Genomic DNA, 27807 nt, shown 5'->3' with positions numbered 1-27807 from the left:
AGACATCAAATTTCTTATAAATATAGAGAAAAGTATTCTAAAATTTATATGGGAAGGCAAAGGAATTAGAATTTCTAAAACAATTTTGAAAAAGAAGAATAAGGCAGGATGAATTAGAGTACTCAATTTGAAAACTTATTGTATAGCTACAATACTCCAGACTGTGTGATATTAGTGGAAGGATAGGCACATAGATCAATGAAAAAAAAAATAGAGAACTCAGAAATAGACCAATACAGATATGCCCAACTAATTTTTGACAAAGGTACAAATCAGTTCACTGTGTGTGGGTGTGTGGTAGTGGCAGGGGTGGGGCAGGCAGGGAATGGCCTTTTCAACAAATGGTGCTGGAGCTATTGGACATTCACTGGCAAAAATAAACAATCAGCCTTACTTTAAACTGCACACCACTTGCAAAAATTAATTTAAAATGGATCACAGATTTAAGTATAAAATGTAAAACTGTAAAACTTTTAGAAAAGTAAGAGAAAATCTTTGGAATCTAGGGCTAGGCAAAAAGTTCTTATATTTGATATCAAACACATAAAAGGAAAAATGGATTAATGTAATTCATCAAAACTAAATACATTTGTTCCACAAGAGACCCTATTAAGAGATTGATGAGAAAGCTATAGACTGAGAGAATATATTTGTAAACCACATTTCTGACAAAGAACTAATCTCTAGGATATACAAAGACCTCTAAAACCCCAACAGTAAACAACAACAAAACAATCCAATTAGAAAGTGGGCAAAAAACACCAATAGACATTTTGTCAAAGAGGATACACAGATAGCAAATAAACAAATGAAAAGTTGTTCAACCTCATTAGCTGTTACGGAAGTGCAAATTAAAGCCACAATGAGATATTATTACGCGTTTATCAGAATAGCTAAAATAAAAAATAGTGACACCACCAAATTCTGGTGAGGATGTGAAGAAACTCATACATTGCTGGCAGGAATACTGTACTTAGCAATATAAAGGAACAAACTACTGATGCACATAACAACTTGGATGATGCTCCAGATAATTATGTTGGGTGAAAAAAAGCCAATCCCATACATACTCCTGTATGATTTTATTTATGTAAAATACTTGAAGAGGTAAAATTATTGAAATGAAGAACAGGTGGCTTTCAGGATTTGTGGGAGGTCAGGAGGGAAGTGGCTGTAGCTATAAATGGCACAGAAGAGATCCTTGGTCTGTAGTTTGACTGTATCAATGTCAATATCCTGCTTGTGATATTGTAATATTGTATTACACTAGTTTTGCAAGAGTTTACCATTGGGGGAAACTGGCTAAAGGGCACATGGGTTCTCTCTCTATATCATTTCTTACAGCTGTTTGTGAATCTGTAATTATCTCAAAAGGAAAAATTTAATTGAAAAACAAGAGTAAATAAATGAAAGGAAAAAAGATAAAAAGAATCACAGGGTGTGATAAGGGCTGAGATGAAACTAAACAGGGGCATGTGATACAGAATGATGGAGAGGGGGCTTCTTAGAGATGGTAGACAGAAAATGCCCACTGAGGAAGGGGTGACATTCACAGGTGAGAAGGGACCAGCTGGGCAAAAAGCCTGGGTAAAGCTTGGAAAGCAGCGAGTCCAGGGATTCCACAGGGAGGGAAGGCAATGGGGGAGGTAGGTTTGGGAATGAGCTTTGAGTTTTTTGAGGAGTGGAAAAGAGACCGTAGGGCTGGGATGTGGAGAGCCTGAGAAATCAAGCTCAGGGTGACATGTTATTTGAAAAAAGATCTTGCATGTAAAGTACATGGAAAGGCGGGGATGTAGGCTTTTCTTCTAGCACAGTCTGACTTTGTGCCTGTCCAGCCATTGCCTGTCTGGCTCTGCTCCACCGCATAGCATCTGTTTCTGGGGCCCTTGGGCTCTAGCAAACCCCCTCTCTCCCCAGGGAAGTTCCCTCCACACACTCAGTTACTGGACTCCACCACTCATGCAAGGTATTTTTCTTTGCTCAGGCCTTTAGTTTGAGAATCCCCTGCTCTGTCCCCTGACTGGGCCATCAGGGTTGAGCCAGACTTGGTCACCCTTAAGATCCTTGGCTATAAAGACTAGAAATTCACGTCAAAACTAACTCATGCAAAAAAGGAGAATTTATAGCAAGTAAACATATAATAACTTTGGTTCCCAATGACCAAAACTCAATTCAAACTGGCTTCAGGGTAGAAAAAAATCAAGGAAAAAAAATAAAAAGAAACTGAGACTTCCATGATTGAAAAGTTCAGGGATAATGGCTTCAGCTCAGGGATCCAGCCCCTTTTCATGGCTCTGCTTTCTTTTGGGTCAATTTCATTCTCAGGCTGGGTGGTGGCAAGAGGGTCCCCAGCAACTCCTGGCTCAAATCCCACCAGCTTAGCACCACAGAAGAAAGATGAGCTTTGTTTCCCAGTAGCTTCAGCCAAGTCCAGGAGTTGAGTCTCATGAACCTGACTTGGGTCATGTGCCCACCCCCCAACCAATTACTGTTGCCAGAGAAAAGCAGCATTTTCATTAGCCAAGCCGAGGTCATGTGCTCACATGGATGTTGGGGTTGGGGCCAGCCCCACACAAAACAAATGGCCTGAGAAGAAGGGAGTGATCCCTTAACAGAATTGGAGTGTGGTTACCAAAAGGAAGAATGGCTACTGAGCAGGCAAAACCAACATACTCCTTACTCATGGAATCCAGAAAAAGCCTACTTGTTCATTCTCTATCCTCGGGTTCTGAGTTTCCATCATGCTAGTATAAAGAGACATCCCAGGTTGAAGTAGAATCTTCAGCTTTGTTGCTCAGGAGAGAGTATCTGATTGGACCAGCTTTCACCAGATGGTCAGCCCTTGTCCCGTCATCTATGAATGGTGGGGGGTGGTGAGTCACATGCTGGACACTTTGGTGGACAGGGAAGCTCTTAGAGGGGCCGGGCTGATATCCTAAAACTGTCTATTACAGACAGTCAGGGCTTCTGGAAGATCTACATCAGCTCCTTATCATGAAAGAAATGGGAACTCTATCAATGGGTTTTGTGTTAAGGGAAATAGATGGTCCTTTTGAGGATCCCTTTGAGAAAGGCAGAGTCCTCAGATTTTTTCCTTGCTTTCCTTCTGGGGTGCTCAGGGGCTGTCAAGGGGAAAAGCAGTGGGTGCAGGCAGTGGGCTTCATTGACCATGGGGAATGCAGGGGTGGTGATGATGTTTAGAAACCAGCTGGGTGGGCTGGCAGCAGGGGAGGCCTGGAGCTCCCAGGAAATGCAGGGTTGGAACAGCAAAACTGAGTCCCTGATTTGGAGGAAACCAGTTACCAAGGCAGAGACTGAAGAACAGGGATCCAGGAGCCAGGCCAGAGGTAACTGAGGCCAGGCAGGTACCCCACTCCTGGTACTAAACGTTGAATGCATAGTCTTGATCAGAGGAAACAGGCAGGCCATTTCTAGGCTGGAACTGGATCAGCTGAGTCTCCTCGCTCTACCCCACCCTTCCTACCTTTCCAAGTGTGGATAGGACAAATTCTCCAGGTTTGGGCTGGGCTCAGCATGTACATCAAGTGAGGGCTGCCAAGAGTCCCAGCTGTACAGAAAGTTGTGGAGGAGAAAGCCAAGCAGGTCATTCATTATAACCTCATCTCTCAGGGGGAGAGTTTACAAACCAAGTCATATGGAAGTGGGTAATGAGGATGTTAATATTAATGATAATAATGACAGCAAGACTTTCTTGAGTGCCTACTATGTGCCAGACACTATTCTAAGATGGTTTCAGTGGATCATCTCCTTTAATCCTTGTAACAACCCTATGAGGTAGTGCTGTTGTCCATTACGATGAACGTGAGGAGGTGCTGGGAGCAGTGGCACATACCTATAATCCCAGTACTTTGGGAGGCTGAGGCAGGAGGATCACTTGAGCCCAGGAAGTTGAGGCTGCAGTAAGCTATGATCGCACCATTGCACTTCAGCCTGGGCAACAGAGCGAATCCCTGTGTTTAAAACAAATAGTCATGAGGAATGTGAAACAGAAAGGGTTGGCATCTTTCCCAGGGTCATACATGAACAAAGGTAACTTAACTTTCATAAAAAATGAGCTTTTAGGGTGTCTGCCCCCATCTCCTTCCCCATCACCAACTCCAGCTAATCTTCTCATGCATCCTCACTTCTGCTCCCCAAACCTCCCACAGTTTGTAGAACATTCCCTGCTGTTTGATGCCTCCATGCCTTTGTACACACTATTCCTTCTCCTGGAATGCCCTTTCCCCCGGCCAACTCTCACTCTCCTTACCAGACTGAACATAAGTGTCGCTGTATTTTGGGTAACTTTCCTTGATGCCAGCCCCCTTGGACAGAATGATTCACTCTCTTCTTGCCTCCCCATAATGAACTCTGTTACATCTGCATCACAATGTGCAGATAATTCTCTGTCTCCCAGACTGCGAGTGGGGCAGGGACCAAGTCTTATCCTTCTCTGTGGCAGTAACTGCTTAAGTACCAGAGGAAAAGGCAGCCATGCAGGGATGAATGAATGTTTGGTGGGTGTGGGATTTTTCCTGTCCCTTGCCCACCCTCACGATGGCATCTCTCTCCTGATCTCTTGGCAGCCTGGCGTGGGGCTCCTTTACCTGCTGCATGGCAGCCTCTGTCACCACGCTCAACTCCTACACCAAGACGGTCATTGAGTTCCGGCACAAGCGCAAGGTCTTTGAGCAGGGCTACCGGGAAGAGCCGACCTTCATAGACCCTGAGGCCATCAAGTACTTCCGGGAGAGGTCAGTGCACAGGGGGTTACCTCTGGCCACCACGGGGACTCTAAAGCCCACGGCCTGGCCTCAGTGGCCACCGGGCCCCAGTCAAAAACTGGAATGAATGGTATGACAGAGGGGTTATGGAGGGGGGAGGCAGAAGAAGGCAGAGTTTGGACGCCACTATGTCAGAATTTCTGGGATATTTTAATGTTTTATAGGTCATGAGGTTGCCTTGGGCTTATGTGATCAAAGCACTAGAAACCCAGAAGGGAACCAAGTTTGAGCATTTACCATTAGGTCCTATGCTTCTTGGAACCATGATAAAGAGATAAAGAAGCCGAACCAAGGTTTCCTTCTTGGGCTCTGTCATGGCATTGAGTGAAAAGAGGACCCAGCTGTGGGATTGGTGATGGCTCCAGGAGGAGGATGGCTTCTCAATGTTGGGAACTACATGTAATCACCCAAGTCTTCAGGGTCCAGCTGGGATTAGAGGAGGTGACAATAAACAGTGGGTGGGTAGATGGATAGACAGATGGCTGGACAGGTGAGCGGGTGGATGGGTAGGTAGATGGATGGCTGGATGAATGGATGGATCAATAGGAGAGTGAGTGGATGGGTAGATGGATAGACAGATGGCTGGACAGGTGAGCGGGTGGATGGGTAGGTAGATGGATGGCTGGATGAATGGATGGATCAATAGGTGAGTGAGTGGATGGGTAGGTGATGGATGGATGGATGGATGGATGGATGGATGGATGGATGATTGGGTGGATAGGGTGGATAGGTAGGTGGACGGATGGACAAGTGGACAGACGGGTAGGTGGATGGATGGATGGATAGGTGTGTTGGTGGATGGGTAGGTAGATGGATGGATGGATGGATGGATGAGTGGTGGATGGGTAGGTGAAGGGATGGATGGATGGATGGATGGATGGATGGATGGATGGATGGATGGAATGGTGAGTGGGTGGATGGGTAGATGGATGAATGGTTGGATGAATGGATTGATAAGTAAATAGGCAGAGGTATAGATGAGTAGGTATGAGTGGAAGGACAGACAGGCAGAAGGCTGGCTGGATGAATTTCAGGAGTTTAGAAGCTGGAGATATCCTTAGGCAGAACTCCTCCCAGACACCTTCTTCTGATGAAGCCACTCAGAGAGAGCATCAGCAGCCTGAAACCAGAAATTTCTGAGCTTTTCCTCCAGGGGATGAGTTCATTGTTTCTGCTGTATCCACCTCACTCTGTACTGCTCTCCTGGCTCCACCCAGAACTGCTCCTATGGGCCAGCTACCACTACCACTCTCCAACCTAGTGCCAACCTACACCCTGCTAGCTGCTCCAGTCTCTTCTGGGCTGTCAGGGTCTGCTGCCCTCTTTAACTCAGCCTACATCCTTAGAGCTGCTGTGCCTATGTTTGTGGCAGGGCTTGCACAATCACAGGCTGTTACTCTCTCTGAGCTCTGTCTGCCTCCCAGGCCTATCCCAATCAGTAGCAGCACCTAGAGGTACCCGCGAATGGCCGATCTGGCCTGGGGTCCCTATGCTCCCAGTCTCTCCTCTTGAGAGAGGGGATATAGAACAGCAGCCCTAGGTCAGAGTCAACCATCATAACTGCCATTTATGGAGCACAAGTTATGTGCCAGGCCCTGTGCCCAGGAATTTCATTTCAACCTTAAGACTTCACTATGCAGTTAGGACTGTTAGCTCCATTTTACAGATGAGGAAAACTGAGGCTCAGAGAAGTTAAGACACTTATGTAAGGTTGCACAGTGATGGAAGGGGAGTTGGGCCCCAGGTCTGCGTGGCTCTTTCCTAGAATGAAGAAAATCAGAGCTGGCAGTGCCTCAGGATCAGGCCACCCAGATTCAAGAGGCAGCCCCAGGATTTAACTCAGGCAGCTGCTTGAGCCCATGCAGGTGCTGTTATGCCCTGGACAGATCTGCTCAGTACTCACAGTTCATGAACAGGCTGGGGGCTTCTCACAAGTCCATGTGACTCTCAGCCTTGAGGACCCTCTTTGACCCCAGAATCTGCTTTGCCCAACACGTGGGGCTTACTGGAATGCCCAGGAGACTGATACTGTCAGGAGTTGGTGGGTGTTGGTGGATGAAGACCCACCTTCCCACCCTTGGGTGCAAAACGGCCTGGGGCACGCTCTGCCATGGGACTGGTCTCCAGGTGCCCTTAGCAGGGATCAGCCTTTATCACATCCTCTGCTGGCTCCGTCCCTTCCCTGTCGCACTTCCCTTCTTCCCTACCCATAGTTCCTGGGACCGCCTCCCCTCAAGAAAACTACCTTTACCCAAATCCTTATCACAGGGCCTACTTCTGGGGGAGCTGAAGGAGATGGGCATTAACACCTTTCAGTGGCAGGAAGGCATCACTGCACATCCTCAGGGCTCAGCAGAGGACGAGGACGAGGAAGGGGACAGGAGGCTGCAGGGTGGGGCAGCAATGAGGAGCTGGACTGTCTGTGGGGCCCTTGGGAGGGTTTCAGTCAGAAGAGAAGCATGGCAGCGCATGGGGTGAGGAGACCCACACAGGTACCCTGACTGTAACAGGCCCCTCTCTCAGCCTGCCACTGTGTCTTTCCCCAGCCACATCAGCCTCCTTTCCATCCCTCAGGCACTCCAAGTGCGTCCCCACCTTGGGACCTTTCTACTTACTGTGCCACGGGATGCTTCCGTGAGGCCTCTCCTAATCACTGGGTCTAAACACACACTCCCCACAACCTTATCCTAGACACTCTAACCCATTGCTATTTTTTATGTTTTGGAGACAGGGTCTCACTCTGTTGCTGTATTAGTCGGTTCTCATGCTGCTAATAAAGACACAACTGAGACTGGGTAATTTATCAAAGAAAGAGGTTTAATTGACTCACAGTTCAGAAGGGCTGGGGAGGCCTCAGGAAACTTAGAAGTATGGCAGAAGGGGAAGCAAACACGTCCTTCTTCACATGGCGGCAGCAAGGAGAAATGCCGAGCAAAGTGGAGAAAAGCCCCTTATAAAGCCATTAGATCTCATGAGAACTCCCTATCATGAGGACATTATTAGGGGTACTGTCCCCATGATTCAATTACCTCCCACTGGATCCCTCCAATGACAGATGAGGATTATGGGAACTCCAATTCAAGATGAGATTTGGGTGGACACAGCTAAACCATATCAGTCACCCAGACTGAGTACAGTGACACAAGCACAGCTCACTGCAGCCTCGACCTCCTGGGCTTAAGTGGTCCTCCCTCCTTGGCCTCCCAAGTAACATGTGCCACCATGACTGGCTAATTTTTTCATTTTTAGTAAAGATGGGGGCCTTGCTATTGGTTGTCCCAGATGGCTTCAAACTCCTAGCCGCAAGCAATCCTCTGACCTCAGCCTCCCAAAATGCTGGGATTACAGGCATGAGCCAGTATGCCTGGCACCATTTCTATTTTTTCATAGCACCTGATACAACCTGCCAGGATTTTCTTTATTTGTTTGCCAGTTTGCAGACTGTGAGCTCTGGGATAGAAGACCTATGCCGTCTTGTTTCCCACTGTGGACCAGGAGCCTAGAATTGGGCCAGGCACCTACTAGGAGCTCATTCAGGGTTTTCTGGTGATTGACTAGACTCTTGTCTTTGGAGGCCTCAGCCCTGGCTCCCTCATGCTCTTTTATTTCCATCTCCACCATCATCTCGCTGATTCAGTGCCCCAGCACTTCCATGCCAAAGCCCCAGGAGAGAGGATGTGATTGCTCGGTGTAGGTCAGGTGTTCAATCTCGGGCCAGGCAGCAGTGGCCAGGAAGATCCGGCTAACCTGGCATGCGGCTCATCTCGTCCCAGGCTGTGGATGGTGGCAATGCCCAGCATGGCACAGGGCCCGAAGTGGGCACTCAGCAAGTGTTTGCAATAGACACATAAGCAGCCAGATGTCCAAAGCTGCCCCATTAGCACTGCGGTCAGTTGCCACCCCTGCTACGGAGATTCACCTCCTTGGGCATCTGTGGGTAAAACACACCTCATTTTGCTGAGGCAGAAGACAAGACCTCTCCGTACCCCATCAACAAGAAGCTGCTGTTTGCTGGTGCCCCAGTTCCAATGGCTCCTAACAGCTCAGCCCCAAGATGAATTCTTCCCAGCATATGTGCAGAATATCACTTTACACATTCATAACTTGAACATTATGCAGAGGTTCATCAAATTTTATTTCCCTTCCCCTCTGAGGAGAGCATTTCAGCTTAGCCAGGCTGTTCTATTTCTTTTCCTTTTTTCTTTTTTTTTTTGTGCTTTCCCTACAAAGAGCTCAGAGCACATAGATGTCTGCATAGGTTTGCAGGATGGCTCAGATGCAGGGCTGACATCTTACAGTGGCCAGCATCCTTGGAGCCGCAGCCAGGAACTCAAGGGAGGGCGATCCATGGCCCCACCTGCCCAGGTTTCCTTCTCCTCCACGGGGGACAGAGGGTGCTGTGGAAAGAGCAGGGGTTTGGAGTGAGTTTTCCAAATCTATCTCTTTGCTGCTATGTAATTTGGGGTGAGGCGCTGAGCCCCTTTGAGCCTGTTTCCTGTGACCCAGGATGGGAGAATCCAGAGCTCTTGGTGTCTCAGGGAGGCTCAAATTTGAAAACCCATGTGACATGCCGCGCCAAGTGCCTGGCACATGGAGGGCTTTTTGTGTGTGAGTTCCTGTCCCTTCTGCTCCTAATGCCCTCACCAGACCCCAGAGTGAAGCATGAGCTTGGTCATGACCAGCTTAGGATGGAGATGGCGAGGGTATTTCGAAGCATGGCTGATAATCTCGTTATTATCTGTGGCCCTGTATAAGGCTCTCCTCTAAATACCTCAGATGTGACTCAGTTAATTTCTGCGATGCCTTTCTATGTGTAAGTGTTATTGTCACCTCCATTTTACAGGTGGCAAATCGAGGCACAGAGAGGGAGGGCGACTTGCCCCAGGTCACACAGCTGGTAAGTGCCAGAGCTGGGATTTAAGCCCAGGCCACATAGTCCTTCCCTGTGCTGTGTGGCCTCTCAGGCTTGATCAATTATCTCTGCTGGGTATTGAGCTAGGACCTGGGCACACAATGAGAGTAAAGGGAGTCCCATGGCTGAGGAGTTCATCGCAGGAGGGGCAGGTGAGGTGAGAGACAGACCGTGAGTGGGTTTCTGGTATGATGCATTCTGTGGGACAGAGCTCATGGGCTCCCTCACGCCCCCACGTTTCCTATCTGTGGGAGAGGGCTTTCTGGAGCCCATTTCATCCGAGTCTTTCCTGCTGTCCTCCTGGAGACCAGCGACAAGGTAGTGCCCTGCGGGGGCTGATGGACAGGAAGAAATTAAACTGTCCCTTTCCCACCCCTACCCCCACCACCCATGTCCTGTTGGATTACCCTCTGCAAGAGCCGACTGCATGGCTGAGGAGCAGTTGGGCAGATTTGAAATGGTGTTCAGCGCTGTCGAAGAAAGGCGTATTATGTGTGTGTGTGCGCGTCTGTGTGCGTGTGCGTATGCATGTGCACATGGTCATGTGGAAGGACCAGTATGCACATGTGTTGGGTTTGCTGGATTGGAGGGCCTGCACCCCCCAATTCCTGCCCCACCCCTGAGAAACATCTGGAATTAAACCCTCCCAGCGTCACCCTGCCTGTCGTCCCCTCCTTCGTCTTAATCGGGCCTCCCAAGGGGAGGGTCAGATGCTGCTGAATGAAAGGTAAATATTTGCAGATTGGGGCTTTCTTGAATACTTAATGCTCAGATCTGGTTTAACAATGTGTGGAAGAAAATCAGACCTGTTGGATTGGATCCCAGAGGGAATTCAGCTGTGCCAAACAAATGACCCGCCTCACTTGGGAATGTGGCACTGTGTGGGGGACGGAAGCCCCCGGAGCTTTTTGGGAGGGCAGATCTTCCTTCCTGGGACCCCTGCACCTCTCTCTGTACCACTTAGGACTCTCTGAAATTACTTGTTTATTTATTTTCGTGTTTATGTCTGGCCCATTTCGGTGCACACTCCACGAGAGCAGGGAGCCTGCTTTTCCTGGTTACCACTCTGTCCCTGCACCTAGAACCACAGAGGCCCAATCAATTACGGTATTAATTATTAACAATATTAGGCCAGGCTCGGTGGCTCACGCCTGTAGTCCTAGCACTTGGGAGGCTGATGCAGGCAGATCACTTAAGTCTAGGAGCTCGAGACTAGCCTGGGCAACATAGCAAGACCCTGTCTCTACAAAAAAATTAAAAGATTAGCTGGGTGTGGTGGCATGTGCCTGTGGTCCCAGTTACTCAGGGAGGCTGAGGTGGGAGGATCACTTGAGTCCGGGGGATCAAGGCTTCAGCGAGCTATGATGGCGCCGCTGCTCTCCCACCTGGGCTACGGAACAAGAACCTGTCTTGAAAAACCAAACCAAACCAAAAAAACATTAATTCTATTGTTAAGTATAGTAGAAAGTTATGCAGTGCCTCCTGTTGCAGACACTGTTTGAGCGCCTGGCTGACTTCATGCATTCAGCCCTTGTGGAACGCCTGAAGAAATAGACCAGGGTTGGAATTAACTTCGCAGTTTACTAGCTGTGAGTCCCCAGGTAACTCGCTTCACCTCTCCGAGCTTCAATTTTCCTGGCTGGAAAATGAGCTAATGCCTACCTTGAGGCTTTGTTGTGAGGACTTTATGAAATGATACAATTATGTTTCTGGAAACAAAGCTGGGGTTCCCCTCTCCCTGCCCCCGCCCCCCTCACCCCATCCCTCTGTTAGAGACCTCCCTCTGTGCAGGGCAAATAAGATACACTCCCTGCCTGAAAAGGGGGCCTGTAGCAAGCGGCAAATGGTAGTCCTTGGAGAATCTGGCCTGCAGATGTGTTTTGTTTAGCTTGCATGGTGGTTTCAAAATTCTTATTTATTTATTTATTTATTTATTTACTTTTTTGAGACACTCTCGCTCAGTCACCCAGGCTGGAGTGCAGTGGCGTGATCTCTGCTCACTGCAAGCTCTGCCTCCTGGGTTCACGCCGTTCTCCTGCTTCAGCCTCCTGAGTAACTGGGACTACAGGTGCCCGCCACCACGCACAGCTAATTTTTTTTGTATTTTTTTAGTAGAGACGGGGTTTCACCGTGTTACCCAGGATGGTCGTGATCTCCTGATCTCGGGATCCGCCCTCCTCTGCCTCCCAAAGTGCTGGGATTACAGGTGTGAGCCACCGCGCCCGGCCCAAAATTCTTAAATTTGGGCTGAGTTTTAAAAATCAGGAGATTTCATGTTAAAATATCAAGGTTTTGCAGAAACAGAAAAAGAAATATGGCATTTTCTCACTTATAAGTGGGAGCTAATCACTGGGTACACATGGACATAAAGACGGGAACAACAGACATTGGGGACTGCAAGAGCAGGGAGGGAGGAAGGCAAGGGTTGCAAAACCACCTATCAGGTACTATGTTCAGGGTTTGGGTGATGGGATCAACTGAAGCCCAACCTCAGCATCATGCAATGCACCCATGTAATGAATCTGCACATGTACCCCTGAATCTAAAAAAAAAAATACAAGAAATCAAAAATCAAGGTTTTTGGCTTTTCATGACAAAGCAGAGATCTGGCCACACTGGGCCCATGTTCCAGCATGGCAACAACAGGCTGAAACACTTGAGTTCACAGCCCCCTGCTCACACCACAGCAAAGTGCAACTGGGTGGCACAATCGAGTCTCCCGGAAGTGGCTTCAGGCAGGAGGGGCCAGTCCCAGTGGGAGGTATAGGATAGAAGAGGCTTCACAGAAGAGACCCCTGAGCTGAGTTTTTCAATACTCATGCAGCATTCACCAGACAGATCGGCAGTGGGTGAGGAAGGCTATTTCAGGCACGGGGAACAGAACAAGCAAAGGCCAGGAGGGGCCGACACACGAAGCACATTTAGGAAAATCTAAGCAACTTGGTGTGATTTGAGAGTGAGCGCCTCGATGGGAGTTGTGCCTGGGTCTCTGATCTCTCTTCTCCTCCCACGGTGTCTGGGGTTGGAGGCTGGTGGTAGCAGCTATCTGTCTATCACTGGGATGCATTTATCTTCTAAGAGAGAGGAGATGGAGTAGGAACCATCCAAAGCCCCCTTCCTTGATGCCAGTGCTCGCTGCACTCCCAGCCCAACACAAAGCCATCAGATCTCAGATCTGCAAGAAACCAGCATGGACAAAAGTGGTTTGTGCACAGGGAAGGGGTGACCTCAACCTGGCTCCTTACACATTCACCGGATTGGCTGAGCAGGGATGGGCACGTCAACCGCATGCCCCAATGGCTCCTGTTCTCTCTCTCCTGTTTGCTGTGGGGGAGCCTTGTGAAGGGCCTGTCTCCACATCTTCACCTCCCACTCACCGTCCAGCCCCCTCCAATCTGGCTCCCACCCCCTCACTCCACGAAGCAGCTCTCGGCAGCCTGGCACGGCACCCACCTGCCTCCCGAATTGCTCTCTCTTCGGCTCCCACAGCCACTTCTCCTGGTCCTGTGTGCCGACGCCGTCTCTGGTTTCCTACAGGGCTGTCTTCCCTTCTATGATGTGCAGCTCCTCATCCTCCATGGCCACGTGGCCGAGGGCCCCCATATTAGAAGAACCCGCTCCGCCCCACCCGATGCCATATGCAGTTGCTTCCTTGGTGTTTCTACTTGGATTCTCAAAGGCACCTCAGATCAATATGTCCAAGACTCATTCATGATATTCACACCCCCAAATGCAGTCTTATTTCCATCTCTCCCTCCATAAGTGGCTCTGCTTGTGCAAGCTGGAAACCTGCAGTCCTGACAGATGCCGCTGCTTCTTCACCACCCATGACCCTCCCGCTCACCACAAGCCCAGGGCCTTCTCTTTATGTCTCCTTCCTTTTTCTCTGCCTCCACTTCCATCGTCCTAGTCTGTGGCTGCAACAGGACTTACCTGGGTGAATCCAGCAACTTTCTTCATGATCTTTGCACACCCATTTTTGTCCCCTCTAATCTACTCTCACCCCAGAAGCTGCAATGCCTCCTCAATATGCTAACGTCATCAGGGTAACAGGACCCCCATCTTTCTGCCTAAAACACTGGAGTGGTTTCCCATGGCTCTCAGGACAAAGACCCAATTCCTCATCATAACTTCAGAGTCCCACCGTGTACTCCGGGCCCCTTGCCCTGCATGCAGCATCTCCTGATCATACACAGCTCCCCAGCCCGGCCATGTTCCGGCCTGTGCAGCTCTGACCCACTCTTCTCTCTGCTGGAGTGCTGCCTGACACCTTCCCCACCGTCTCCTCCGCCAAGCTGGGCAGCATCACGCCTCAGGTATCCTCACGTCTGTTCTCCCTCCTGGCGTCGTCTGGGTGCTGAAAGGGACTTCTGAGACAAGTCCTGTCTGGAGGTTTCGTGCTGTCGGTACGGCCTTTATGGGTGGAGGGACTCCTTAGGGGTTGTCAAAGATGGGGATGGGGTTTTGGGATGGGGACCACCACCATGCCAGTGATTATTTGTATTGCCAGGTAATCATTGCTAACCCATGCGATTCTAGAAATAACCAAAGTGTAACTTCAAGGTGTTAATATCTAGAGGTCTGTTTTTTTTTTTTTTAAGACAGAGTCTTGTTCTGTCGCCAGGCTGGAGTGCAGTGGCGTGATCTTGGCTCACTGCAACCTCTGCCTCCCCGGTTTAAGCGATTTTCCTGCCTCAGCCTCCCTAGTAGCTGAGATTACAGGCACATGCCACCATGCCTGGCTAATTTTTTTGTATTTTTAGTAGAGACGGGGTTTCACCTTGTTGGTCAGGCTGGTCTTGAACTCCTGACCTTGTGATCCACTCGCCTCGGCCTCCCAAAGTGCTGGGATTACAGGCGTGAGCCACCGCGCCCGGCCGAGGTCTCTTTTTAAAACCCAGTATTGGAGAAACGGGAGACAAAACTGTAAATTACACATAAAGATCAAGCTAAGGCACTGACATGCGCATGGCTTTATCTCCTTCTGTGTTATTTTCCAAATGTTTTATATCATGATGATATTTACTCAGAAAATGGGAAAAGAAAAAAAAAAGTCCTTCTTAAAAACCCATTTATTTCCCCCTAACTTGCAATGACCCTTTTTACGTGATGTTATGGAATCTTAATTTACTACCTGCAGTCATTTATTTGCCCAAAATTCCTTTTAATTCCATTTTTCATTCCATCGTGAATTGCTTATTTAAAAATCAATGTGTTCTTTGTCCTCTGCGACTGTTTCTTAGATGTCTAGCCTCTGAGACATGTTCAATCACAGCTCCATCTCATCCATCTGTCTTCACTGCTTGAAGTTTATTTCTCGGTAACACTTTGCACGCCATCACCCAGTGTTGGGGTCCTTTGAAATCGCCGTTCATTCTTGAGAGGAACGCGATGCCCAGAAACTGGAGATGGCACCGTGGAGATTCAGAGCCTTCACGCGGCTCATGTGATCGGATCGTCAGCCAGCACCCATACACGGGGAGGTGAAAACACAAGATGGTCCTTGAAGTGAAAAAATTATCAAAGGATGGTGGGAGGAACATCTGAAAGGAACATCTGGAAGGAATCTGGAAGGAATGTTCACTCCCTGAACTTTCATGCTTTCTTTTAAATATCTGCCGGCTGGAGGGAGCTTCAGAGGCGGGAAGGAGGTGGCTGGCTCTTTGATCATGGCCATTTGCCACCAGGACCATGGGGAGAGGATGGGAAGCCTGGGCTGGGCTGAGCCCCTCACCTGGCCAAAGCCTGGACCCAGCAGCGCTGGCCTCACCTGGAAGCCTGCTCAAAATGCAGAATCTCAGACCCCACCTTAGACCTGCTGAATCAGAGGCTTTATGTGAACAAGCTTCTCGGGTGATCTTGGAGCACCGTTAAATTTGCGAAGTACTGGGCTGGAGGATAGAGCAGGTGCAGCCCCAGTCATAGGGTCAGGAGGTGGATGTGGCCAGCCAAGGCCAGAGGAGAGAAAAGGGCCTTACAGAACAGTGCTACTCAAAGTGTGGTCCCTGGACCATTGCCCGTTTGCAAACATCCTTCGTGATGTAAGGACAGAAATTGAGATAAATGGAAGCTTTCATAACAAATTGACATTGCTGGACACTCATGCTTGCCTTTTCTATGCATTTTTTTCATTTCATTTTCATTTTTTATGAAAAAATTGGTTCAAGACAGATTGAAAATTAAGTGGGAGCCAGACATGTTGGCACACACTTATAATTCCAGCTGCTCAGGAGGCCGAGGTGGGTGGAGGATCACTTGAGCCCATGAATTGGAGGCTTCAGTGAGTTATGATTGCTCCACCGCACTCCAGGCTGGGCAATAGGGCAAGACCCCGTGTCTAAAAAAGAGAAGAAAATTAAGGGGGTGGGGGGAGTCTTAGTCCTTTATTACAGATAGTTGCAGAAGCACAGCATGTAGGCTATTAATTCATACAAGGCAGTGGCTGGATATTTGGGAAACAGAGTCAGTCTGGGGCCAGAGAGAGAGGGGCTGGCCTTGAGGATGGCACAGATGGAACCATATAGGGTGGAGAACATGGCGGGGGATGACAGCCTGGAGCAGGGGCAGTGGAGGCTGGGGAGGCCCCAGGGCACCTGACACCCACCCCTGCCACAGCAGAGATGGGGCCTGGTAGGCCCCCTGATAACGCCCCTGGCTATTGTGGCCACATTCGGCCCTGGAATCAGGCCGGCAGGTACAGTGTGGCCTCCTAGTGATATATCAGTTCTGGTCCTCCCTGAAACCCTCCCTCAGTGTCCTCAGAGTCTCCCAGCTCCATCACTTGCCTTCATCCGCCTTTTCTCCTAAAAAGAGCAAACACCCAGCCTCCATCAGACTCCAGACTATGGTGGGCTATTGGGGACAGTGACTGTGACATGGCACAGTCACCTCCAACACCTCTGCAGCAGTTCTGGCAGAGCCAGTGATGGAGGGTCCCCAGCCCCACTTTCCATGAGGACCTCACAGTGCAAGCCTGCCTGGGGTGGGTCTGATCAGGAATCCCCTGCCTGCTGGGAGTCGGCAGGGTACCGTGGAAACTCGCTCTAGCTCCAGGGACCATAAACCCAAGCTCAGATCCCAGCCCTGCCACAAGCCAGCTGCAGGGTTGGAGCTACCAGGACTGCTCACGAAGGCCCATTGTGCAAATCTCCTCCCAGCTCCACATTCAGTGATGTCATAGAGGTCCCTTCAGTTCAGCCACGGTTTTACCCCATGGCAGTTCACAAACACTGAAACAGGGCTCTGTTTTGTATTGGACAGCCAGGCTACCAAGAAACTGGGCAAAAGTTACAAATCTGTCTTCGCTTCACCTTTCCCATCTGCGAAATAGGGCTGGTGCTGTTCACGTCTGAACAGGTGCCTTTGTCACTGTCACTTTCCCTGGGGCTCTTCCATCTTTCTAGGCACCACAGCATCTACTCACACTTAGCTCCTGCTCTGAAGTTCCTTGTCCCCAGTTTGGGGGACTCTGTCTCTTCTGGGGCAAAGGGCAGTGCCGTGACCTCCTGTGGGTTTTGCCTGCCCTGAATCCAGAGGTTTTCGATACCTTTGAAGCCCTTCCTCTGCTTCTTGCAAAATATCCCTTTCCTGAGGCAATGACAGCGACAGCTCTAAATGCTGGAATGGAGGAAAGGAGTGTGTGTTTGGGGAGGGGGCACCGGATAGTGCATTACAGTAGTTCATACCTTCCACCTCTGGAACTGGGAGGTGGGGCTGAATATGCAGTCACAGGGTGACAGGACCAGAAAGACCGCAGAGGTAAGGATGACAATGGTGACAACAGTAACAATAATATGGTGATAATAATGGCAAGCACCAGGCAGTGTTCTCAGTCCTGCTCTAAATAGCTTGAGCTTTACATTTATTTATTGTTTTATTTATTTGAGAGAGGGTGTCGCTCTGTCACCCAGGCTGGAGTGCAGTGGTGCAATCATAGCTCATTGCAGCAGCCTTGGGTGATCCTCCCACCTCAGCCTCCCGAGTAGTTGGGACTACAGGCATGAGCCTTAGCACCTGGATAATTTTTTTTGTTTTGTTTTTGGTAGAGACTAGATCTCCCTATATTGTCCAGCATGCTGTGCATTGTTAATTAGTTTAATCCTTATAATAACCAGAAGAATAGGTATATTATGTGCCCATTCATCAGATGAGAAAATCAAGACTTGTCCAGGCACAGGGCTGGTGAGTAGTGGAGCCACTGCCCCAACCCCTGGAGGGATGTGACACGTCTGGGGTGCCCGGTTCCACCTGATGCCTGTTCTGAGCACTGTTTCACACCAAGCATCCCCATCAGCCCTTCAAGGACCTTATTTAGATTTATGGGTGTGTTAGTCTGTTTCACATTGCCATAAAAGAATACCTGAGGCTGGGTAATTTATAAGGAAGAGAGGTTTATGTGGCTTGTGTTTCTGCAGGCTCTACAAGAAGCATGGTGCCAGCATCTGCTCAGCTTCTGGTGAGGCCTCAGGAAGCTTTTACTTATGATAGAACGGGAGCAGGTACATCACACAATGAGCAAAGGAGCAAGAGAGAGGTGGAGATGCCAGGCTCCTTTAAACAACCAGCTCTCTCCTGAACTAATGAGAACTCACTTATTACCAAGCCATTCATGAGGGACCAAAATACCTCCCACCAGGCCCCACCTCCAACATTGGGGATCACGTTTCAGCATAAGATTTAGAGGGGACAAATATCCAAACCATATCAGTGGATGTTTCTTACACCACCACCATCTTATGAAAAAAGCAAATCTGGTTGGGTGCGATGGCTCATGACTGTAATCCTAGCACTTTAGGAGGCTGAGGCAGGAGGATCACTTGAAGCCAGGAGGTGGAGGCTGCAGTGATCTATGATTGTACCACTGCACACAAGCCTGGGTGACAGAGTGGAACCCTGTCAAAAGAAAAAAAAAAAGTAAATCTGTCTTCATGTCTTCAGAAAATGCATAATGTTTCCTGCAGGAAATTGCAGTTCAAATCAAAGGAAATTGTCACGTACTGACATTTACCATTGCTCCTTTTTCAACAGGGAGCCCAGCATTGCTGATGACCCTTGGCTACCTCCCCTGTGGGCTGCTCTTAGCTTCAAACTGTTTTTCCTCCCTCCCTCACCTCCCTTCCTCCTTCCCTCTCTCCCTTCCTTTTTTTTTTTTTTTTTTTCCTTGAGACGGGTTCTCCCTCTGTCACCCAGGCTGGAGTGCAATGGTGCAATCTCGGCTCACTGCAACCTCCGCCTCCTGGGTTCAGGTGATTCTTCTGCCTCAGCCTCCAGAGTAGCTGGGATTATAGGCGCCCGCCACCACGCCTGGCTGATTTTTGTATTTTTTCTTGCATTATTTACAATACTTTGTGCCACACACTGTGCTAGACCCTGAGGCTACAAGCATAGAATGAGAGAAACCCCATCCTTCTCTCTGAGTTGAAAATGTATTAAGGGGGCCGGGTACAGTGGCTCACGCCTGTAATCCCAGCTTTTTGGAAGGCCAAGGTGGGAGAATCACTTGAAGCCAGGAGTTCGAGACCAGCCTGGGCAATATAGTGAGACCCTGTTTTTACAAAAAATGAAAGAATTAGCTGGGGGTGGTGGTGTGTGCCTGTAGTCCCAGCTGCTTGGAAGGCTGTGGTGGGAGGATCGCTTGAGCCCAGAAGGTCGAGGTTACAGTGAGATATGATTGTGCCACTGCACTCCAGCCTGGGTGACAGAGTGAGATTTTGGCTCAAAGAAAGAAAAGAAAAAGAAAAGTATTAGGGAAGGCAGACTATCAGACTATTAGAGAAGTTTAAAGATAGCAGTAGTGAACATGCTCTGAGCCTATCTTCTGTGGCAGGTCCTGGGCTTGAGTCCTTACAACAACCAGGGTGGCAGTGGCAGCGGTCGTTACTGTTGTGAAATGACCACCGGTATTATGCCCAGTGCACACATAAGAAAACTGAGATTCAGAGCGGCCCAGTGAGCTGCACAGGGTCATGCTGCCTGTTAATCGCAGAGCTGAGCTCAACCATGATTCCTCCTCACTCCAGGGCCCAAGGTCTCATTGTGCCCAAAGCCTACCCTTGTCCCCTCCGTGTTTCCTGCCAGGGAGCCCCGCCATTGGGGGCACTCAGCCCTTGACCAGAACCACTGCCAAGCCCTAGTCAGGCCCAGAGGGCGGCCAAGACCCTGCAGATTCTGCAGATCCCGTGTCTTGCTTGCTGAATCTGGTGGAGAGCCTCAAGTCTGTGCAAGGAAACCAGCTCTTTCCAGAATGGCAACACTGCGTCATAGAAAGATGGGCAAGCCTAGTCTTGGAGCTCAGCTTCCTCTCTTAGATATGAGCAGGTCAGCAGCGCTCTTCACATTAGGAAAGACATAAAATCAACCTAAATGCCCATCAGTGGTAGACTGCATAAAGAAAATGTAGTACATACACACCATGGAATACTACACAGCCAGAAAAAAGAATGAGATCATGTCCTTTGCAGCAACATGGATGGAGCCTGGAGGCCATTATCCTTAGCAAACCAACGCAGGAACAGAAAACCAAATACTGCGTGTTCTTACATATAAGTGAGAGCTAAATGATGAGGGAACAACAGACACCAGGACCTACTTGAAGGTGGAGGGTGGGAAGAGGGAGGGGACCAAAAAGCCATCTATCGGGTTCTATGCTCATTACCTGGGTGACAAAATAGTCTGTACACCAAACCCCCGTGACATGCAATTTACCTCTGTAACAAACCTGCACACGTACCCTGAATCTAAAATGCAAGTTAAAAAGAATTAAAAGCTGGCCGGGTGCGGTGGCTCACACCTGTAATCCCAGCACTTTGGGAGGCCAAGGCAGGTGGATCAGTTGAAGTCAGGAGTTGGAGACCAGCCTGGGCAGCATGGTGAAACCCCGTCTCTACTAAAACTACAAAAAGTAGCCGGGTGTGATGGTGCACGACCGTAGTCCCAGCTACTAGGGAGGCCGAGGCGGAAGAATCCGGGAGGCGGAGGTTGCAGTGAGCTGAGATCGCACCACTTCACTCCAGCCTGGGTGAGAGAGTAAGACTCTGTCTCAAAAATAAATAAATAAATAAATAAAAATTAAAACAACAACAACAACAAAGACAAAATAAAAAGGAAGCGAGCAGGTCCCATGGCCTTCATGATGCAGCTCAAACGGTACCACCCCGAGAAGCCTCCGCTGGTCCCTGCACCAGTGGTTTTCAACCCAGGCTGCACATTCCAGCCCTGCTCCCCACTCCCTGTAATTAAAAACTCCCGTGGTGGCTTCACTGTGCAGCCAAGCTGAGAACCACTGGGCTTGACCAGGCATTAACACGCTATCCACGCAGGCCGAATCCCGTCCACCACCTGCTACTGTCCACACCCATTTGTTTCCATCTCGTCTATGTCTGCTTTCACGGCAGGGGCAGAGTTGAGTAGTTGTGAGAGAGAACATATGGCTTGCAAAGCCTCACATATTTACTGTCTGAGCCTTTACAGCAAACGTTCACCAACCCCTGGACTAGATAGTTATTGGCCCTGCCAACCCTCTTCATATCCTCCTGGCCTGAAACTTAGCACATGAAGCCACTGTTATTTGTGTATGGGTAAAACCAACAGGAGATCCTTGAGGGCAGGGGTCTTTCTGGGTGGTCCCTGTGGTCCCCAAGCCCAGCACAAGGCCTGGCTCTCTCCTCGGCAGGTGTTACTGGATATGTCAGCTGTTGAGTGGAGGTCTCTGGGCAACAAGGCTTGGGTGATGAGGGAGGGAAGGTATTGTGCCAGGCTGGACTGACTGTCTCCTTAGACATCAGCCCCTTTGCTCACAGGGCCCCACTTCCCAAGGCTGAGGCTCCCAGCAGAAGCCAAGCAGGTGTCCAGCTTGAGGCCTGGAGGAAGATGAGACTTCAGAGAAGAAACCAGGAGAGACCAGGCATGGTGGCTCACGCCTGTAATCCCAGCACATTGGGAGGCTGAGGCGGGTGGATCACCTGAGGTCAGGAGTTTGAGACCAGCCTGGTCAACATGGCAAAACCCCATCTCTACTAAAAATATAAAAAAAATAACCAAACATGGTGGCACACACCTGTAATTCCAGATACTTGGGAGGCTGAGGCAGGAGAATTGCGTGAACCCAGGAGGTGGAAGTTGCAGTGAGCCAAGATCACACCACTGCATGCCAGCCTGGGCGACAGAGCGAGACTCCGTCTCAACAACAACAACAACGAAAAGAAACCAGGAGAATTGGGAGCTGAGGATGGATGGAGGGGTTGGTTCAAGGTCAAGGCTGTGAAAAGCAGGAGGATGCTGGAAGCCCTTTATGCAATAGGACAGGCCTCTGTTGACCTAGAGGTGCTGGATGTGGCCAGGGAGGTGGTGTTCCGGGATGAGGAGGGGCTGTTACCTGGTCCACTCTCCTAACCAATGTTTGAGTCCAGTTCTGACTTCGTGACTGGTGATACTCTAGTCCTGAGCACCTCTGCTGATGGAAACTCACCACATGCACCATTATTTGGAAGAGTCAACAAAAATGAGGAAACACCTAAATGTCTACCAATGGGGGTATTGAATATTAATTACTCTTTTATATACAGCTATAAGAAAAAAAGGTGGGTGAGATCTAGGTGTACTCAAATGAAAAATTTCTGGATAGGTAAAAAGAAAATCAGTTTCAAAAATATGTTTAATTTGAGTCTATTTGTGTAGAAAAAGTATTAATTCTGAAAAAATAAATACCAAACTGCTAACAATGTTGATCCCATTACATGGAGATGTGATTATAGGGGGATTTTTGCTGTCTCTAAGATGTTGGAGATTTTTTGTTTGTTTTTGAAACAAGCTTGTTTTATCAGGAAAATAGCCAAGATGTTTTTATTAAAAGACTTTTTTGGGCCGGGCGTGGTGGTTCACACCTGTAATTCCAGCACTTTGGGAGGCCAAGGTGGGTGGATCACCTGAGGTCAGGAGTTCAAGACCAGCCTGGGCAACATGGCGAGACCCCCATCTCTACTAAAAATACAAAATTAGCCAGGTGTGGTGGCACATGCCTGTGATCCCAGCTCCTCGGGAGGCTGAGGCAGGAGAATTGCTTGAACCCAGGAGGAGGAGGTTGTGGTGAGCTGAGATCGCACCACTGCACTCCAGCCTGGACAACAGAGTGAGACTCCATCTAAAAAAAAAAAGAAAAACTTAAAAAAAAAGACATTATCCTTTTGTTGAACTGAAATTTGCCTTTCTAAGGCATCAACACTCATTCTTTTGGTTTGGTGCCTAGGGCCACTCAGGCCACAGGAGATCCTTATAAGCAGAAAAAGTTCAGAGTATGTTCCCTGGGAAGTACAGGCCTAGCCCCTTGGTGCAGACAGTCCTTGTGTAGTGTTATTCAATGCCTGATCTTTTTTACTTTTTGAGACAGGGTATCACTCTGTTACCCAGGCTGAAGCACAGTGATGAGATCATGGCTCACCGTAGCCTCTGTCTCCTGGGCTCAAGTGATCCTCCCAACTCAGCTTCCTAGGTAGCTGGGACCACAGGAACACATCACCACACCCAGCTAGTATTTGTAGAGACGGGATTTCACCATGTTGCCCAGGCTGGTCTCGAACTCCTGGGCTCAAGCAATCTGCCCACTGCAGCCTCCCAAAGCACTGGGATTATAGGCATGAGCCACCACACCCAGCCTCACCTGCCATTTTCTAACTAGGGTGCAAGCTTGTCTTCCCTACTAGGCCAGAAGGACTCTGAGGGCAGAGGTTACGAAAGAGACATTTCTGTCCACACAGCATCTGGTGCCAACAGAGAAGGTCCTCAGGAAGTTCCTGGTGAATGAGCGAATGAATGAATGAATGATTGGTGATTATCAATATATGAGTATCTCTCTCCCTTCTACTAAGGACACTTTGGCATTGCTAGCTTGTCACTCTCACCTTCCCCCATCTTCTCCTCCAGCTCAGGCTTCCTGGATGTGCAACTAGGAATAAGAGGTGATGGGAAGAGTCAGGGAACAGAGATAGGGCATTTGTTTTGGAAAGGATTGAGCCTTCCTTGCATGAGAGAAGAGGAGATAGCAGTGGAAAGACAGGGAGGGTGGGGAAAAGGGGACATGCCCCACCAAGGACACTGAAGAGAGTTTAGGGGAAGTGTTGAAAATGAGACAAAGACAGGGTGAGAGAGATTTTAGGACAGCTGCAAGACAAGTGAGAGAAAAGAGAGGGATGGAGGAAAGATGTCAAGCTGTGTGGATTGGAGCACCCACTGTGTGCTTTAGGAGAGACAATAATGATTGGTTTTTTTTTTTTTCTCAGACGGGGTCTCACTTGTTGCTTGGGCTGGAGTGCAGTGGTATAATCACAGCTCACTGCAACCTCGATCTCCTGGGCTCAAGCGATCCTCCCACCTCAGCCGAGACTGTAGCTGAGACCAGAGGCACACATCACCACACCACATGTGCTGGCTTATTTTTTAATTTTTTCTAGAGACGGCGTTCTTGCTATGTTGCCCAGGCTGGAGTGCAGTGGTATAATCATGGCTCACTGCAGCCTTGATCTCCTGGGCTCAAGCAATCCTCCTGCCTCAGCCTCCTGAGTGGCTGGGACTAGAAGCACACACCACCACTCCGGCATGCACTGGCTTCTTTTTTGATGTTTTCTAGAGATTAGGGTCTTGCTATGTTGCCTGGGCTGGTCTTGAACTCCTGACCTCAAGTGATCCTCCTGCCTCGGCCTCCCAAAATGCTAGGAAAACAGATATGAGCCACCATGCCTAGCCTGGAGTTGTTCTTACTTGAGAGGACTAGATTGTGTTTCTCTAATGTGATGCCCATTTGGACAGGACCGTGTGGAACTCTGGAATTTACCTGGGTTACAAATGCATGTGTGCAATGAGGGAACATGACCCCACCGGTTCTCGGGCCCAGCCATCAGTGGGACGCAGGTGAAGGTCTAAGTTTGGAGCTGTGTCAGAGGCCATGCACCTGCCTCCACTGTCCAGGTCCTCAACAGCCTCTGCTCCATGCTTCTCCTCTGCTGCCACCCCGCAGAGGCTGCTCGCTCTGGGACCACCACAACCCTGAGATGATGGAGGAGAGAGAAACCACACTGAGAAGCTCTTGCAATTGTTGGTGGGGAAGAACACTGTACCAGAATTTGGGAGACTGGGGCTTTGATAGTACGCAGAATTATCTTTAGGAAGTGTTTTATTGGGAGGCCGAGGTGGATGGATCACCTGAGGTCAGGAGTTTGAGACCAGACTGGCCAACATGGTGAAACCCTGTCTCTAATAAAAGTACAAAAATTAGCTGGGCGCAGTGGCAGGTACCTGTAATCCCAGCTACTCGGGAGGCTGAGGCAGGAGAATCGCTTGAGCCTGGGAGGTGGAGGGTGCAGTGAGCCGAGACCGTGCCACTGCACTCCAGCCTGGGCAACAGAGCGAGACTCCATGTCAAAAAAAAAAAAAAAGATGTGTTTTAATGTAGTTAAGAAATGCTTCCCAGAGCTGAGCACAGTGGCTCATGCCTATAATCCCAGAGTTTTGGGAGGCAGACGCAGGAGGATCCCTTGAAGCCAGGAGTTTGAGATCAGCCTGGCCAACACGACAAGACCCTATCTCTATAGAAAAATTTAAAAATTAGCTGGATGTGGTAACACACACTTGTAGTCCTACCTACTTGGAAAGCTAAGGCAGGAGGATTGCTTAAGCCTAGGATGTTGGAGGCTGCAGCAAGCTCCGATTGTGCTACTACACTCCAGCCTGGGCGACAGAGTGAGACCTTGTCTCTGGGGTGGGCGGAGGGGAGGGAAATGCTGCTTAGCGAAGAAGAGCCTGTTGCCCCCCATCAGAAAATAAAGTTAGCAAAAAGAAGCCTCCGGAGTTAATTCCCTATATTCATTATGTAGGGATAATCACCGTTAACTTTTTGGTGTGTATTCTGCCAAAATAATTTCTGTGCCTTTCAATGTATAATTCTGAAAACAAATGAAACTGTAAACATCTTTTGATATATACCATTCGCAAATAATTTATTTTCCTCTTTTTGACAGAATGATGGGTTTGCCTTCCTATTCTGCCTCTAACTGATTAGTTGCATGACACTGGGTTGGTCACATCACCTCCAAAAGCCTCAGTTTCTTCATTAGTAGAATGGGAATAATGATGCCCATCTCACAAGGTTGTGGTCAAAATCCCCCAGGGCAGCAGGTGGAAAGTTACTTTGCAAAATATTCTCCAGAGGGGGGAAGATTGCACTTTTTCAGGTTTTGGGTCTCTGCCCACTCATCCTTCTCTTTCCTACCTAGGATTTTGTTTTTGTTTTTTTTTCTTTCCAGGATGGAGAAGAGGGACGGGAGCGAGGAGGACTTTCACTTAGACTGCCGCCACGAGAGATACCCTGCCCGTAAGTGGCCTGTTTGTGGGTATCTGCTACGACAGATTCATGGGCTGCCAGAGGAGAAAGAATCCCTGGAGAAGAGTCAGGCCAGCCCCCACCCCCCACTGCACCCTGCATTCTCCCACAAACACGTTACAGATGAGGAAACTGAGTCTGGTGTCTCAGGGTAGCAAGCCCCTGCACGCAGCTCTCCCCACAGGCTTCCCAGTCGGGATGGGATGCTAAGAAAGGAAGGAAGAGACTGGAGTTCCAGGGAGCAGGCAGGGAAAACCCAGCTCAAGGCCAGGCCTGGGTTAGCCACTGGTCTGAGGGAGGACAGTCCTGGCTAGAAGGAGCCGAGGCAGGGAGGTGACCGTGGACAGGAGTTGTTTGAGCTGAGGATACTCTTGGCAGCTTAGATGCATTCACTTCAAACACTTTGCTGTGGGGCACACCATGAGGCAGAATCTAGGGCACTGCTCAGAAAACAAATGTCAGGATCAGAAAGCAAAGCAGAGAAGAACCAAAGTAAGATTAAAGTTAAAATGGTCAGATCTTGGCTGAGCCTGCTGTAATGCCCACCACGTGTTCCCCACCCCATCCCACTCTGTACTAAGGGCTTTTCATGCCTGATCTCATATCCTTGCTTACCCCAGTCCCTACAGCTGGGATTGTTGCCTAGACTTTGCATATGAGGAAATTAAGGCTCAGAGAGGTGGAGTAACTTGCCCAAGGTCACATAGCTTAGCTAATCACTGGCAGAGGAGTCACAGCAGACACAGTCAGTGCCCTGGCCACCTCTCTCAGACCTTTAGGAAGCTCCAGTGGCATCTATCTGTATCTGCATCTCTGTGCCTGGAGGCTTCCCCACCTCCAGCCATAGAAGGCTAGAAGTGCCAGGGAAGTTGGTGTATAGATACCCCAGCTCCCTCACCCTGGAGTGGGATCCCCCTGAGGCATAAAGAGTCAATGATCATCAGGTTTAGTGGCTCTCCCCTCCCATCCCTGTCCCACTTTTCCTCTCTGCCCAATTTCCCTGTACCTTGTAAATATATCATGGGCACTCAAATTCTTACCTGTGGGTCTGCTGCTGGGGAATCCAAACTAAGAAGGCAGAGATTTAAACACAGGTCTGTCTGATTCCAAATCCTGTGATCCTAGTAACTGAATGAGAAATGGCTCTGCTAGTGGGGAGGAGACAGTGGTGAACCAAGATGCTTGGGAGGAGGCCTTGTTGGAGAAGAGGAGAGGGAAGAGAGCCCAATTTTGGCCTGTGAGGGACAGGAGATGGTGCTGAAGTGAACCATGGGCTCACACATCATGGTTTCATGTCTGTGCTAGCTTGGAGGGCTTCCTGGAAGAGGGGATCAGAAACCAGGGGATGGATGTGTTTGGAGAACTCCTCCTGCAGGGACAACAGAGTGAAGAAATCATCAGAGACGGGCTCGGGAAGCACACAGCAGGGATAGAGGTTGAGAATCCTGGTGCATTCCAGAATGTCCTCAGCTCCCTTATTTGGGAGTGAGCCTCCCCAGGCTCCCTGCAGAATAGGCGGGAAATCCTGGGTAGAAAGAGGCCTTGGGGCTTGTCTTAGGGGCATCTGGGGGCCTGGGTGGAGGTCCCTACCACTGGAAGAGTCAAGGCACTGTGGCCCGAAAAGCAAGCCCTGGAATTAAGAACGAGAGTTCTCAGGGTCAGAGGAAATGGCAAAACCCCTCCAACCCACCCCCAATCCCAGTGCCCACAGCCCTCCCCCCACCCCAATCCCAGTGCCCACA

The 27807-nt window shown here is 49.3% G+C and overlaps 1 protein-coding gene across 6 annotated transcripts in view; it reads left to right on the top strand.

Moving 5' to 3' along the window:
• Positions 1 to 27807, top strand: part of GSG1L (GSG1 like) — a 276187-nt gene that overhangs the window by 230172 nt on the left and 18208 nt on the right. For 3 of the 6 annotated variants that reach the window (NM_001323901.2, NM_001109763.2, NM_144675.3), the window contains 2 exons: positions 4587 to 4754; positions 25989 to 26056. In NM_001323901.2, coding sequence (NP_001310830.1) covers positions 4587 to 4754; positions 25989 to 26056 — 236 coding nt within the window. Of the gene's footprint in view, positions 1 to 4586; positions 4755 to 9627; positions 9682 to 25988; positions 26057 to 27370; positions 27514 to 27807 lie in introns of those variants that run through there. The other 3 variants (NM_001323900.2, XM_011545750.3, XM_011545751.3) reach the window with 3 other exon arrangements.

This window comes from Homo sapiens, chromosome 16 (genome assembly GCF_000001405.40).
Source record: "Homo sapiens chromosome 16, GRCh38.p14 Primary Assembly".
Lineage (NCBI taxonomy): Eukaryota > Metazoa > Chordata > Mammalia > Primates > Hominidae > Homo > Homo sapiens.
The sequence above is the reverse complement of the archived record's forward strand: the minus strand, read 5'-3'. Positions and strand labels throughout refer to the sequence as shown.